This window comes from Homo sapiens, chromosome 8, assembly GCF_000001405.40.
Source record: "Homo sapiens chromosome 8, GRCh38.p14 Primary Assembly".
Classification (NCBI taxonomy): Eukaryota; Metazoa; Chordata; class Mammalia; order Primates; family Hominidae; genus Homo; species Homo sapiens.
In genome coordinates this window covers 7,181,856-7,198,312 of record NC_000008.11, presented here as the reverse complement: position 1 = coordinate 7,198,312, position 16,457 = coordinate 7,181,856, and the positions used below count along the sequence as shown (strand labels likewise).

Below are 16,457 nucleotides of genomic sequence, written 5' to 3'. Positions count from 1 at the left end.
ACTATATGTTAAATGCCTGGCACATACATGGTGCAAAATATTTATGAGTGAAATGACAAGTGAAGGTGGTGAGTCATGGGAGTTCCAAGGGAACGGGTGATAAAGGGAGGTCTCAAATGAGGCACAAGTGGGGAAGGTAGCTTGGGAAAGGAGAAGGATGTTTCTCCTTATAAGATGGGAAAGGCAGAGGAAGAGGGTCAAGATACAGTGATCTAGGGGTGAGATGGAAGTGAGTTGAGAGAACTCAGCTCTGGGCTCTTTTCACCCCTAGGGATGGGTTTGGGGGTTTTTGAGATATGGAAGAGGCTTAAAGTCAATTGTTATGGCAAATATGGTTTGGAATTTATTTGCGATGCTTAAAAATATTGCTGAACAGAAGTGAAGTCTTTCCTAGAGTTGGACGGTGAGATTATTTAGTGGAACTACGAGATCCCTGTTGTGATTCTTTCCAGTATCATTCAGCAGCCCTTGGTCAGTTGCGAGGCAAGTCATCAATGGGGTATGGAGATTTTCCAGGTGGGTGTGGTTGAAGGCAGGGAAGAACGCGTTTAGGAGCACATTACAAGAGGAAGGTATCTGTTAAGTCCAGGCTGAGCAGGAATGTATAGCAAGAAGGAAACATGAGGTTGTGAAGAGAAGTTTAGAGGGATGAGGAGTCAGGAGAGGTGAACAGTTGCAGGACGTAGCTAGAGTGGCGATGTTAGATCTTGGGGCCAGAGAGCTTTACAATGAGTATGAAGATCAAAGGGCATTAGAATCAAGCTATAAAGAGCCACTGTTTGATGTTGGTATGTAAGTATGCTGCAGGTGGATGTCTGCACATTGATGGTGAGAACGTGGTCACCCTGGCCCTGCTGGGTCTTTGCTAAAGAGACTCTGCTCTGTTCTTGGGGCCGTTTTCATCACCTGATAAGAGCAGTGGTTCCCAAATTGTGTTCTTTGGACCATCTGTATAAAATATTCATAGGTCAAGGATAAAATGGAAAAACAGAGAAAATGTCACAGAAATGTGCCCATTGGTGAAAGACCACCAGCTGTCCTTTTTGGAGGATTTTTCTTTATTCTAAAAATGTATATATTCTATTCTATTAAAACATTTTTGTATTTGCATTTTTTTCTCTTTTATGAAATGCCATGGGGTAGAAATTTGTAATGTATCCAATTCTCCTGTCTCCATGCATTGCAGTGTGGTGGGGGAAGGGATGTGGCTAGTACTGGCCAAGAGGCTGGGGGCAGAAGTGCAGTGTTAGACTTCTAGCCCGAAGCATTTAATTCTTAGTACAAGGCTCTCTAGCATTCTTCTCCCTCTGTTCCCTGCTTGGTGATACTCGAGGTATTGCAACCCCCATTAGCCTTACTCTTAGGGAAAGTTTGATGGGAAACAGAGCACCCCACACCTCCCTGCAGATATAGCATGAGTAAGAAACACAACTTCTGATGTTTGAAGTTACCAAGATTTAGGAGTTGTTTGTTATTGCAGCAAAACCTCACCTATTCTGACCAATCATGGTGGAAATTCCGTGTGTGTGTGTGTGTGTGTGTGTGTGTGTGTGTGTGTGTGTGTGTGTTTGTGTGTGTAACTGGTAGTTTAAAAAATTTCCTTCTTACCAAAAAGAAAAAGAAAATAGCAACCTTATGTTGGTTCTCAAATTAAAAAAAACAAATTTTACCCGTTTATAAAATAGAAAAATCTGAGAATCTGTAGCTTAGAGAACTACTGTGTGGGATGTCTTTAAAGACCAGGTTATTTTATCAGCTCCTAACACCCCTTAATAGAAGCTTAGCCAAGACTTGGACTATTTCAGTCTTTCCCATTCCACATTCCATGGACTCTTGAAGAGACATTGATAAAACGGTGCAGCCATGAACCACCCTAACTCAATCCTAGTGGCAGAACCTGCCTTTTACTGCAGAATGAGCTTCTTGCTACAGTGATACTTCAACCCCTTAGATATATCCTGTACTATTTATATTAAAACACGACCAATGCTTTTGCTTTGTTGTCCCCCAAATTAAACACATTAATCACGAGAACCCAGAGAATTGGATTTAGTGTACCTGATTCCAAACTGTCAGTAAGAACATAATTAAGTTATATTTTTCTCCAATTCAAATAAAAGAAAGTTGACAATAAAATGCTGATCAATATGTGTAGCTCAGGAGGTAGAGCCTGCTTTGAGATGCAGAAGTGTTTGCTTTTTTTAGATCTATATTCTTGAGTAAAGAAAAAAATCCATCTCTCTTTCCTAGAAGGGAAGAGTTTCAGAACTGCGCTTGGCAACAGCCTGACTATCAGAGGCTGAATTAAACAAATAGGTACCTCCCTGGAGTGAATGGTGGGTTTCTCCAGTTCGGGAAACCGTGCTTTTATGTTGGAGTTTGCTTTCTGTCTTGGTGTCCGGATGTGTGTATCTGTGGGTGGATGTCTGCATGCAAATGGCAGTGTATACCTGTGTGGGTGTGTACAAAATTCCCATGTGAATCTCAGCTTTGTGGGGATTTCCGGATCTTGAGCCCAGCAGATGCCATTTGAAGAAAAATCACTTGAAAATGAGATAGAAAGAATGGAAACTAAATCCTAGCTCTAAAGGCACCAGGCTGATTAAAAAAAAAAAAAAACAAAAAACTCTGGATCTTCTTTGTTTTGGACTCTACCTACCTCCTAATAACATTTCTGTTTCCTATGAGATGATTAGAATGAAAGAGATCCTGAGCACAAAAGAGCAGATACTGTGTGATAGTGTGTATGTCAGGGTGTTAGCTGTGACACTGCTGGCATTTTGGCTCAGCAGTTTCTCTGTTTTATGTGTGGGGGTTCCCTGTGCATTTCAGGATGTTGAGCGGCATCCCTGGATCCCTGGACTCACTGGATGCAGTAACACAACTCCCCCCAAGTAGAGACAAACCCCAGTGTCTCTAGATATTGCCTAATGTCCCCAGGGGACAAAATAGCCCCATCTGAGAACTGCTGCTTTCATAAAGTACAATGTCAGGTGAAATAGGTGGAGGCTGTTTGTAGTCAGGGGTTAGTAGAGATGGAAAAGACCCCAGGAATATCCTGGAAGGGGCTGTAATATTTTGTTTCTTGAATTCGGTGTCAGTAATATGGAGATGTTCAGTTTTTTGTTGTTGTTGTTGTTGTTTTTTTGAGGCAGGATCTTGCTCTGTCACCGAGGCTGGAGCACAGTGGCACCGTCATGGCCCACTGCAGCCTCTGCCTCCTGGGCTCAAGCAGTCCTCCCACCTCAGCCCTCCTGAATAGCTGGAACTACAGGCATGTCCCATCACTGTTGCTGAATTTTTGTATTTATTTATTTTTTGTAGAGAGGGGTGTATCACTATGTTGCCCAGGCTGGTCTTGAGCTCCTGGGCTCAAGCAATCTGCTCACCTCGGCCTCCCAAAGTGCTGGGATGACAGGCATGAGCCACTGCGTCTGGCCAGTATGTTCAGTTTGTAAGAAAAGTACTGTGTTGACCTCTTCTATGTGCACATTTCTTTAAGTAATAATTCAATAAACCATTTAGAAAAATTGGTCATAATAAGAGTGATTTGTAGAGTGATTGGCATGAAAGCTGATCACCTTAATTTGAACTACTCTGAAATGAGCACCAGGGGACACCAAGAGGACCCTTTCAAGGTGTCATAGCCAAGGATAGGAGTGTGTTGTGTACATCTCTGCATAAAGGATTTGCTGATTATATGGAAGGATGAAGCCTCCTTCTGAGGACAGAGGCAGCAAAGCAAGTGGAAGCCCAAAGCATTGAGCTTTCTAAATGGACTTTGCTAAAATCTTGTGGATGACTCATGCTCTTAACATACACCCATGTACATATTGTCCATATAAACGTTAATTCTGTAACAAGGCCCACACTTAAGGGTTTTTTTTTTTTTCTTTTGGGACAGTCTTGCTTTATTGCCTAGGCTAGAATACAGTGGCATAATCGTGACTCACTGCAACCTCTGCCTCCTGGGTTCAAGCAATGCTTGTGCCTCAGCCCCCCGAGTAGCAGGGACTACAGGTGCACACCACCATGCCTGGGTAATTTTTGTATTTTTAGTAGAGAGGGGGTTTCACCATGTTGGCCAGGCTGGTTTCAAACTCCTGGCCTCAAGTGATCTGCGCACCTCAGCCTCCTAAATTGTTGGGATTACAGGTGTGAGCCACTGCGCCTGGGCCCACACATAAGGTTTGAGTTGAGATAGAGAAACTCTGGCAGGACTGAGGAATTTGGCCACAGTCTCTGGGAAATATGCACAATTTCTGGAATCTTCTCTACTTGCAGAGTTCCCACTTTCTATCTGTCTCCTATTTATTCAACAAACTTGTATGGAACCACAGTGTGTCTAGAACTTGCCAGGTATGGAGGATAAAAAGATGACTGAGATCGGACATGGTGGCTCATGCCTGTAATCCCAGCACTTTGGGAGGCCAAGGCAGGCGGATCACTTGAGGGCAGGAGTTTGAGCACAGCCTGGCCAACATGATGAAACGTCTCTACTAAAAGTACAAAAATTAGCCAGGCATGGTGGCATGCATATGTAGTCCCATCTACTTGGGAAGCTGAGGCAGGAGAATCGCTTGAACCCAGGAGGCAGATGTTGCAGTGAGCTGAGATCACACCGCTGCATTCCAGCCTGGGAGACAGTGAGATTCCATGTCAAAAAAAAAGATGACTGAGATACAGACTCCATCAGGGTTGACTCTAACACAAATTAGGTAAGAGCCCAAGGTCTGGCTGGGCAAGGACCTTGATCGGCCTCATCCTGCAGTGTCTACTAGAATGAAGAACACTTTTTTCTTTACCCATGAAAATGTTCTGTGCTTCATACCTACAATACAATTTGTGTTAATTCTGCAAAACTTGCCGCATAACTCTGCCTGTATTCTTAGCATTTTTCTTTTGAGAGATTTCTCAACACATCATCTTTGGACTATGTGGAATTGGAAGTTTACTTAGACTCAACAACAAGTACAGGAAAGTTAGTTCTTAGTCAAGAGTTAGGTTTTCAAAGACAGTGGATAAAATAAAAAATCTAGTACAGTCAAGATTATACGTGCAAATCCCCTCATCATTCATGAAGTTTAGCAGTCAGTCTTACCGTGGCTCACCAGGTCCAATCCATACTTTTTCCTCCATGATTGGAGCAGAGGGTGATTTTTTTTTATGAGCAACTGATGAAGTCATTTAGAGACCATTTGCAGTAGGAGCCCTGTGTACTACAGACCAATCAATGTGCCCTCGTGGCTCCATTTCTGCCTCTCTCCCTCTTTGTTCTTGCCAAGTACCGATAGTTCATTTTCCATAGATTAAAAGAGCCCAAGTTGGGCCTATACCTAGAAGTACAATTGCTGGGTCATTTGGTAACTCCATGTAGAATTGTTTGGGAAGCTGTTAAACTGTTTCTCACAGTGGCTACACTATTTTAATTCCTACCAGCAGTGTATGAAAATTCTAGTTTCTCTGCATCCTCACCAACACTTGTTATTTTCTGTATTTTTTTTTTTTTTTGAGACAAAGTCTTGCTCTGTAGCCCAGGCTGGAGTGCAGTGGCACAATCTCAGCTCACTGCAACCTCTGCCTCCCAGATTCAAGTTACTCTCCTGCCTCAGCCTCCCGAGTAGCTGGTATTATAGTCACCTGCCACCATGCCTGGCTAATTTTTGTATTTTTTTAGTAGAGACAGGGTTTCACCATGTTGGCCAGGATGGTCTCAAACTCCTGGCCTCAGGTGATCCACCTGCCTCGGTCTCCCAAAGTGCTGGTATTACAGTCATTAGCCACCGCACCAGGCCAATTTTCTCTATCTTCGATTCTAGCCATCCTTATGGGTGTGAAGTGGTATCTCATTGCGGTTTTGATTTCTGTTTCCCTGATGAAGAATTTCATTGAGCATCTTTTCATGTGCTTATTGGCCACTTGTATGTCTTCCTTGGAGATGTGCCATATTTTCATATTCAAAAATGAAAGCACAGGTCCACACAAAAATTTGTACATGAATAATTACAGTAGCATCACTCTTAATAACACAAAGAGGGAATTAATCCAAATGCCCATCACCAGATGAAGAGAGACACCGATTGTTGTCTACACACATGGTGGAATATTATTTGATCACAAAAAGGAGGAATGTACATATGCTACAGCGTGGATAAACCTTCAAAACAGATGAAAGATCACATTCTACATGATTTCATTCAGATGGAAATCTATAGAAATAGGAAGTCGATTAGTGGTTGCTTAGGGCTGGTAGGGGCATGGGAGGATGGGGGTGTTAGCTAAATGGTATGAGGTTTCTTTTTGAGGTCATGAAATGTTCTAAAATTGACTGGTAATGTTTGCGTATATCTCTGAATATATTAAAAACCATTGAAATGTAAAAAATGCAAAGAAAAAACAGCCCAAGTTGCAATTTTATTCAACACTTGATTGCTTTAAAAATAGATTCCAGGCTGGGCATGGTGGCTCACACCTGAAATCCCAGTGCTTTGGGAGGCTGCAGTGGGAGGATTGCTTGAGGCCAAGAGTTCCAGGCCAGCCTTGGCAACATGGCAAGACCCTGTCTGTACAAAAAAAGAAAAAATAAATATCAGCTGGGTACAGTGGCTCACACCTGTAATCCCAGCACTTTGGGAGGCTGAGGCAGGCAGATCACCTGACATCAGTTCAAGACGAGCTTGGCCAACATGGTGAAATCCCGTCTCTACCAAAAATATAAAATTTAGCCTTTTGGTACTCTAAGCAGCACCATGGCGGTTGTTAAGAACAAGTGCCTTATGAAAGGTGGCAAAAAGGGAGTTAAGAAGAAAGTAGTTGGTCCATTCTCTAAGAAAGATCAGTATGATGTGAAAGCACCTGCTATGTTCAATATAAGAAATATTGGAAAGACTTGGTCACCAGGACCAAAGGAACCCAAATTGCATCTGATGGTCTCAAGTTTCTAGTGTTTGAAATGAGTCTTGCTGATTTGCAGAATGATGAAGTTGCATTTAGAAAATTCAAGCTGATTACTGAAGATGTTCAGGGCAAAAGCTGCCTGACTAACTTCAATGGCATGGGTATTACCTGTGACAAAATATATTCCAAGGTTGAAAAATGTTCAACAATAATTGAAGCTCATGTTGATGTCAAGACTACCGATGGTTACTTCTTTCTTCTGTTTTGTGTTGGTTTTACTAAAAAACACAACAATCAGATACTGAAGACCTCTTATGCTCAGCACCAACAGTCTGCCAAATCCAGAAGAAGATGATGGAAATCATGACCTGAGAGGTGCAGACAAATGACTTGAAAGAAGTGGTTAATAAATTGATTCCAGACAACATTGGAAAAGATGTAGAAAAGGCTTGCCCATCTATCCTCTCCATGATGTCTTCATTAGAAAAGTAAAAATGCCGGAGAACCCTGGATTTGAAAGGAATAGAGCTTCCTGGTGATGGTGGTGATTCTGGAAAACCCACTAGGGACGAGATGCGTGCTAAAGTTGAATGAGCTGATGGATATGAACCATCAGTCCAAGAATCTGTTTAAAGTTCAGACTTAAAACAGTAGCAAATAAGAAGTCCTATTTGTGAAAAACAAACAAGAAACAACAATGAAAGAGCAAAATTAGCCTGGTGTGGTGGTGCATGCCTGTAATCCTAGCTACTCAGGAGGCTGAGGCACGAGAATTACTTGAACCCGGGAGACAGAGGTTGCAGTGAGCCAAGATTGCACCATTGCACTCCAGCCTGTGCAACAGAGTGAGACTCTACAAAAAGAAGAAAAAAAAAATAAGTATCCGGGCTTGGTGGCATGTGCCTGTAGTCTCAGCTACTCTGAAGGCTGAGATGGGAGGATGGCTTGAGGCCAGGAGTAATTTGAGGCTGCAGTGAACTATGATTGTGACACTGCACTCCAGCCTGGACTTGAGAGCAAGACCCTGTCTCTTATACATACACACACAAACACACACACACACACACACACACACACACACATATATATACACACACATACATACATATCCAGGCTCTACTTCTAGTGATTTTGACTCAGTAGGGTGGGGTATCCCCTAGGGATCCTGCTGTTCAGCCTGGTCTGGGATCCACTTTTCATTGGGAACTGAGACACTGGCTGTGAGCCCTTCTGTCCTGAGATGTAGAGGTCATGGGGATGCAGGTTCAAGCTTAAGGAGACCTGACTGTGTGTTAGGTATTGTGTTGAACATCATCTCTTACTCTTACAGCAACATCCGTAGAAGGTTGATGATGTGTCCCTGCTCTACAGATGAGGAACTGAACTTTCAGAGGAGTTTAGCTTGTTCAAAACTTATTCTTCCTATTGGAAACTTTGTACCCTTTGACCAGTGTCTCCAATCCCCTCCCTTTCCTTCACCCCATCCCCAGATAACCACTGTCCTACTCTCTATTTCTGTGAGTTCTACTTCTTTAGATTCCACATATAAGTAAAATCATGCAGTATTTGTCTTTCTGTGCCTGGCTTATTTCACTTAACACAATGTCTTTCAAATTCATCTATGTTGTTGAAAATGACAGGAATTCTTTCTTTTTTAAGGGTTAATAGTATTCCGTTGTGTGTATATAGTCCATTTGCTTTATCTTTTCATCCACTAATGGACACTTAGGTTGATTCTATATCTTGGGTATTGTGAATAGTGCTGCAGTGAACATAGGAATGTAGGGATCCCTTCGACATATTGATTTTGATTTTTTTTTGGTCTATATCCAGAAGTTGGGTTGCTGGATTATATGCTTTGAAATCTATAGCACAGTAGCGTGACTATAGTAAATAATAATGTATCTTTCAAAATAACTAAGTGGGTACATTTCAAATGTTGCATCATGAAAATTGTCAGTAAATTAGGGGATGGACGTGTTCATTAGTTTGATCTAATCATCCCACATTGTATACACATATCAAAACATCACATACATGTGTACAATTTTGATTTGTCAATTAAAATAACTTTAGTTAAAAAAATAAGTAACTTGTTCAAAGCCCCAGTTGGGATTGATGGAGCTGGGACATGCACCAAGGCTGTTGCTCTCAGGCCCACAGAGTCCTTGGTCCACGAATGTTGAAGCCCTACCTGAGATTTCAACTGAGATCAGTGCAGGGATTCAATGTCTCAGAATCATCCCATCCTCCAGGGCCCACAAGTCCATGACCGCTGCCTCTACCACCGACCCTACTGACCTGAAATGTGGCCCCTGCTTTCATTTCCGGGAGCATACAACACTTACACCAAGCATTGATGGGTTTTGTTGACTTCATTTGAGATGTGGGGTCGTGGAGAGGGTCCCATGATCCTTGTTTGGTGTTGGCCAACTCATTGACTTCTCTCCTTTGACTTCACCCTTCCCTTTTCTACTCACCTCCTCTGTCATGGATTGTTCTGGTAATTCTGAGCCCTGGTTCCTTTATTTTGCTGATAACCTTCTCTCGTGTCTGCAACGAATCCCAAAAGTGTGTAGTTGAGCTGACTGCAAGGTGCTTGACACGCAAGAGACTCCACAAATGGGATTCGGCCTCTGGAAAGTGGTGGTAGTTCCAGATTTATGTGGATGTTACTTTATTTTTCCGTATAAAATCTATTCTTTAAACTCTCAAGCTCTTGGGTCCTGGCTGCAGTCCTTTGCTGGTGGTAGTGGGCTGGGTACTGCCACAGGGGAGAAATGCTGCCCACTTAGAGAAAGGGAAACTGGTTCTCTTTTAGAGGCAGAGGGAGGTTCCCAGTGTCAGTTTGTTTGGAGGCAAAATGGCTGTTGTATTAAAATTGCCCAAACTTGGGTTGGTGCCTTGTGTGTTTAGAGCTCAAAGCCACGATTGTTTTCTTTTTTTTTTTTTTTTTTTTTTTTTTTTGGTGGTTGGTTTTCCATCCTTTTGCCTGGCAGGTTCCTGCTAATAGCTTCAACCTCAAGAGTCCCATTATACAGACACTAATAGCACCTACTATGTGCCAGTCTGTAGTGCCTACTATGTGTCAGGCATTGGAGATAATATAATGATGAACAAGATACACATGGCATTTGGAAAAGAGAGTCTACTTCCCACTCTCAGCCCACCCCAAAGAGAGGCCAGAATTGGGCTTCCAAAGATCTCAGATGCCCTTGCAGCACCTCCCTAAAGAGGGCGGGTGAAGCTTTGGTGTCTGAAGAGAATTTGGCTGGACAATCCCCCAGGTTTGGAAGGATGGGAAGGAGCTGCCATCTGTGTTTAAGGTGAGAAGTTGGGGAGTGGCTGGATATCAGAGGAAGCCAAGATGAAGAGAAGGTTTTTGTGAGTTCCTATGCATAGTGGAGACCTGTTCTAGTGAGGGTCCCTGGGGCTGAGCCTGTGGGTCAGTGGAATGATGCTGTGAGTAGGGTCTTGCTATAGCAGGTGGCCCAAAGAATGTTGATGGATCATGAGCAGGTGGAAGAATGGAGAGTTCAGGGGATGTAGTTCCTACCTGGCTTTCCAACAGTGTGTAAGCCCAGAATTCTTACATAAGCCCATGGAGAAGGGAAAGGAATGCTGGTAACGACAAGATTGAATTCTCCACCTGCCAGGCATCCAGGGACTCAGAGCAGATTTAAGTGAAGTTACAGAAATAGGAATGTGACATTTCCTACATCCGGGTGTGCTGGAGCAAATGTATTCCCTCTCTGGTTTGTGGGGAAGGAGAATGCTAACAGACAAGACTCCAGGTTTTCGCTCTTAAACCTGGTGCCTAGAAATGCATTTTCTACTGGATGCAGACAGAAGCTCCATATAGACATATCCATCGCTGCATCTCTCATGCCTTGTGTTCTCCCTAATTTTCCCTTTTTCACCCACAGAGGAAGAAAGTTCCAGCATCACTTCTGGCCTCTCAAGAGTGAGTTAGGTGGCCAGGTGGGGTTATTCATGCCTGTAATCTCATACTGAAGGGGTGGCCTGCCCCTCCACACCTGTGGGTATTTCTTGTCGGGTGGGATGAGAGACAGAAAAGAAATCAGACACAGAGACAAAGTATAGAGAAACAACAGTGGGCCCAGGGGACCGGCGCTTAGCATACCAAGGACCTGCACTGGCACCGTTCTCTGAGTTCCCTCAGTTTTTATTGATTATTATCTTCATTATTTCAGCAAAAATGAATGTAGTAGGAGGGCAAGGTGATAATAAGGAGAAGGTCAGCAACAAACATGTGAGCAATAGAATCTATGACATAATGAAGTTCAAGGGAAGGTACTATGACTGGACGTGCATGTAAGCCAGATTTATGTTTCTCTGCACCCAGACATCTCAGTGGAGTAAAGAATAACAAGGCAGCATTGCTGTAAACATGTCTCGCCTCCCACCATAGGGTGGTTTTTCTCCCATCTCAGAATTGAACAAATGTACAATCGTGTTTTATACCGAGACATTCAGTTCCCAGGGGGCAAGCATGAGACAGCGGCCTTCCTCTATCTCAACTGCAAGAGGCTTTCCTCTTTGACTAATCCACCTCAGCACAGACACTTTATGGGTGTCGAGCTGGGGGACCGTCAGGTCTTTCTCATCCCATGAGGCCATATTTCAGACTATCACATGGGAAGAAACCATGGACAATACCCAGCTTTCAAGGGCAGAGGTCCCTGCGGCTTTCCACAGTGCATTGTGCCCCTGGTTTATTGAGACGAGAGAATGGTGATGACTTTTACCAAGTATACTGCTTCCAAATATTTGGTTAACAAGGCACGTCCTGCACAGCCCTACATGCCTTAAACCTTGATTTCATACAAACATGTTTTTGTGAGCTCCAGATTGGGTCAAAGTGGTTGCGGCAAAGTGGCTGGGGCAAAGCTACAGATAAACAACATCTCAGCAAGCAATTGTTTAAAGTACAGGTCTTTTTCAAAATGGAGTCTCTTATGGCTTCCCTTTCTATGTAGACACAGTAACAGTCTGATCTCTCTTTCTTTTCCCTACATATCCCCCTTTTCATTTTGACAAAACCACCACCATCATCATGGCCCCTTCTCGCTGGTCGCTGTCTCTCTGGAGCTGCTGGATACACCTGTAGACTAAAAATAGAAAGGACAGACATACAAGGATTAATAAAAAATTTGCAATAGTGGAATTTCCGGTGGTTTTAACCCAAGTGACGGGGGCAAGAGGACGGTGTGGCTGCTGCGGCACCAACGCAGTCTCCCACCTCCTTTGTGTCTTAGTTGCTGTTTCTCATAGTTTTCAGTCTTTCTCCTCACCTGCTCACTCGCACCTTTTATCTCTTTGTCTCCCTTCTCTTACGGTCTCTCTCTCTCTCTTTTACACTATTTCTCTCCCCAATCTCTTTCTGTGTCTTTCTCTGATCTCTGTCTCTTTTTCTTTCTCTTCCTCTCCCTGGCTCTCCACATGTGCCATTTCCTTGGTGGATTGTAACTTCATTTGTTCTTCTGATATCACATTTTGTTCACCCTGCGAGTCGATGATGCTCGATTGCGGGTTTTCTGTCTCTGCAGAGGCACTTTCATTTGCATCTCTGATGGGTTCACTGTGGAACTTCAAATGTCTAGTGGGTATCCAAACAGGAAGCTGATTTTCTCCTGGTGAAACACAAGCAAAACCTCCCACCATGTTATCACCTTACCTATTTCCCATGTTTTGTTTTTGTTGTCTTTCCACCAAATCAGTTTTCCCTCATGTGGGCTATTCTTTTTACCAGTAAAATGTTCTGCAGAAGTAGTGGTCTGATTTCTATGTATGTCTAGAAAATCTAAAGTATAGAGTGTTTCATTAAGTTGCATCTGGGGAGTGCTATACTCCTTACTGTCTTTTTCCTTTTTTTGTTTAACCAATTGAGTTTTGAGTGTTCTAAGCAGGACAGGTAAGATCTGCTTCTGGCACAGTCAGCCAGGTCTCCTTACCCTGAGCTTCCCTTTCTGCCTGTGACTGAATGGGCATGTCAGGGTCTAGTAGAGGATCCAGGAGGAGGAAGCCTCATTAAATTCTATTCTGCAGCAATTGATGGCCACCCAACTTGAACAGTGGGGGCTTATCATCTCATGTACTAAGATCAGAGATAGCTGATGCCAAGGTTGGCTAAATTAGTAGCTTGAGATTTTAGGTTTTTCATTTGAGGTTTCTATGCTGCTATTGTCTTCTGCTCTTGGTCACAGAGGCTGCCACAATCCGCATGTCAAGTCCTCATGTGACAATATCCAGAGACAGCAAGGAAGAGGTACAGTGTATTCCTGCATGTTTCTTTAAAAAAAAATGTTTTCGATAGAGAATAATTGTACACATTTATGGGGTCCATGTGAGATTCTGGTACATGCGTGCAATGTGTAATGATCAAATCAGGGTCTTTGGGATATTAACCACCTCAAACATTGATCATTTCTTTGTGTTGGGAATATTTCAAATCTTATTGTTATTTAGAAGTACATAATAATTCTATTTATCAGGATATAAAATCTATGTACACAAATCAGTAGCAGTGCTATACACCAACATCTACCAGGCTGAGAATCAAATCAAACCCTTTTATAATAGCTGTAAAAATAAAATACTTAGGAATATACCTAACCAAGGAGGTGAAAGACCCCTACAAGGAAAACTACAAAACACTGTTGAAAGAAATCACAGATGACAAAAACAAATGGAAACACATTCCATGTTCATGGATGGGTAGACTCAATATTGTGAAAATGACCATACTGCCAAAAGCAGTCTACAAATTCAATGCAATTCCTATCAATGTATCATCATCATTCTTTATAGAACTAGAAAAAAAATGCCAAAATTCATTTGGAACTAAAAAAGAGTCTGCAAAGCCAAAGCAAAACTAAGCAAAAAGAACCAATCTAGAGGCATCACATTACCCAACTTCAAACTATATTACAAAGCTATAGTCACCAAAACTGCATGGTGCTGGTATAAAAATAGGCACATGACCAATGGGACAGAGTAGAGAACCTAGAAATAAAGCCAAATACTTAACAGCCAACTGATCTTCGACAAAGTAAACAAAACCAAAGTAAGAAAAGTACACCCTATACAACAAATAGTGCTGGGATAGTTGGCAAGCCACATGTAAAAGAATAAAACTGGATCCTTATCTCTCACCTTATACAAAAATCAACACAAGATGGATCAAAGACTTAAATCTAAGGTCTGAAACCATAAAAATTCTAGAAGATAACATTGGAAAATGCTTCTACACATTGGCTTAGGCAAAGAGTTTATGACCAAGAACCCAAAAGCAAATGCAACAAAAACACAGATAAATAGATGGGACTTTAATTAAACTAAAAGCCTCCTGCACAGCATAGAAAATAATCAGCAGAGTAAACAGATCACCCACAGAGTGGGAGAAAATTTTCACAAACTGCATCTGACAAAGGGCTAATGTGCAGAATCTACAGGGAACTCTAATCAGCAAGAAAAAAAGAATCTCATCAAAAAGTGTGCCAAGGACATGAATAGACAATTCTCAAAAGAAGATATACAAATGGCCAACAAACATGAAAAAATGCTCAACATCACTAATTACCAGGGAAATGCAAATCAAAACCACAATGCAATACCACGTGTAAAAGAAACAAAAAGAGGGCGAGGCGTGGTGGCTCACGCCTGTAATCCTAGCACTTTGGGAGGCCAAGGTGGGCGGATCACGAGATCAGGAGTTTGAGACCAGCCTGACCAACATGGTGAAACCCAGTCTCTACTGAAAATACAAAAATTAGCCGAGCATTGTGGCAGTTGGCTGTAATCCCAGCTACTCAGGAGGCTGAGGCAGGAGAATTGCTTGAACCCGGGAGGCAGAGGTTGCAGTGAGCTGATATGGCACCACTGTACTCCAGCCTGGGCTACAGAGTGAGACTCCATCTCAAAAAACCAAAAAACAAAACAAAACAAAAAAAACAAAAGTTGATGTTGGCATGGATGTGGTGAAAGACAACGCTTTTACACTGATGGTGGGAATGTAAGCTAGTACCACCACTATGGAAAGCAGTATGGAGATTCCTTAAACAACTAGAAGTACATCTACCATTTCATCCAGCAATCCCACTGCTAGGTATCTACCCAGAAGAAAAGAAGTCATTATATGAAAAAGATACATTTGCACACATGTTTACAGCAGCAGAATTCACAGTTGCAAAACTATAGAACCAGCACAAATGTCCATCAATCAATTAGTGGATAAAGAAAATGTGTTATATATATGTATACCATAGAATACTACTTAGCCTTAAAAAGGAATAAAATAATGGCATGCATAGCAACCTGGATGGATTTGACCATTATTCTAAATGAAGTAACTCAGGAATGGAAAACCAAACATAGCATGTTCTCACTCGTAAGTGGGAGCTAAGCTATGATGATGCAAAGGCACAAGAATGAAACAGTGGACTTTGGGGGCTCAATGGGAAGGTGGGAGGGAGTGAGAGAGAAAAGACTATACATTGGGTAAGCTGCTTTGGTGATGGGTATGCCAAAATTTCAGAGATCACCACTAAGGAACTTATCCATGTAACCAAATACCATCTGTTCCCTAAAAACTATTGAAATTAAAAAAAGAAATACACAACAAATTGTTGTAGTCACTTTCTGTGATAATGAACACTAGACCTTATTCCTTCTATTATATATTTTTATATTCATTAATCAACCTCTTTTCAAACCCCTCCTCTTCCCAGCCTCTATTAACTATCATTCTACTCTTTATCTCTATGATATCAATTTTATATAGCTCCAGGGCACACAAGTCCATAACTGTGGTCTCTATCCCTGACCCTACTGACCTGAAACGTGGCCCCCACTTTGATTTCCAGGAACATAAACCGCTCACATAAGTGAAAACATGCAATAGTTTTCTTTCTGTGAATGGCCTAGTTCACCTAACATTATGACGTTTAATTTCATCCATTTAGCTGAAAATGGCAGGATTTCATTCTTTTTTAAGGCTGAATACTATTCTGTTATGCGTATATTCCCATTTTCTTTATCCATTCATCCATTGATTGACACTCAGATTGATTCCTTATCTTGGCTATTGTAAATAGTGCTGCAGTAAATATGGAGGTACAGATATCCCGTTGATACACTGATATCCTTTTTTTGGATGTATACCCAGGAGTGGGATTGCTGGATCACGTGGTAGATTTGTTCTTAGTTTTTTTGAGAAATCTCTGTGCTTTTTTTCATAATGACTGTACTAATTTACATTCCCACCAACAATATACAATAATTTTCTTTTCTTCACATGCTTGCCAGCATTTGTTGTGCTTTGTCTTTTTAATAATAGCCATTCTAACAAGTATGAGATGATATCTTATTGTGGTTTTGATTTGCATTTCCGTGATGATTAGTGATGTTGAATATTTTTTCATAAACTTGGTGATTTGTATATCTTCTTTTGAGAAATATCTGTTTGTTTTTTGATAGTTTCTTTTGCTGTGCAGAAGCTCTTTCATTTAATTAGATCCCATTTGTCAATTTTTGCTTTT

The 16,457-nt window shown here is 41.9% G+C and overlaps 1 long non-coding RNA gene and 1 pseudogene across 1 annotated transcript in view; one reads left to right on the top strand and one right to left on the bottom strand.

Annotated features, from left to right (window-relative positions):
* On the top strand, positions 6,726-7,574 carry RPS3AP33 (RPS3A pseudogene 33; annotated as a pseudogene).
* The window catches only part of LOC105377803 (uncharacterized), a 47,930-nt gene continuing 43,333 nt past the window's right edge, over positions 11,861-16,457 (bottom strand). Inside the window, exon 4 of the long non-coding RNA XR_941393.3 lies at positions 11,861-12,029. This is a non-coding gene — a long non-coding RNA (uncharacterized LOC105377803). The remainder of the gene's footprint in view (positions 12,030-16,457) is intronic.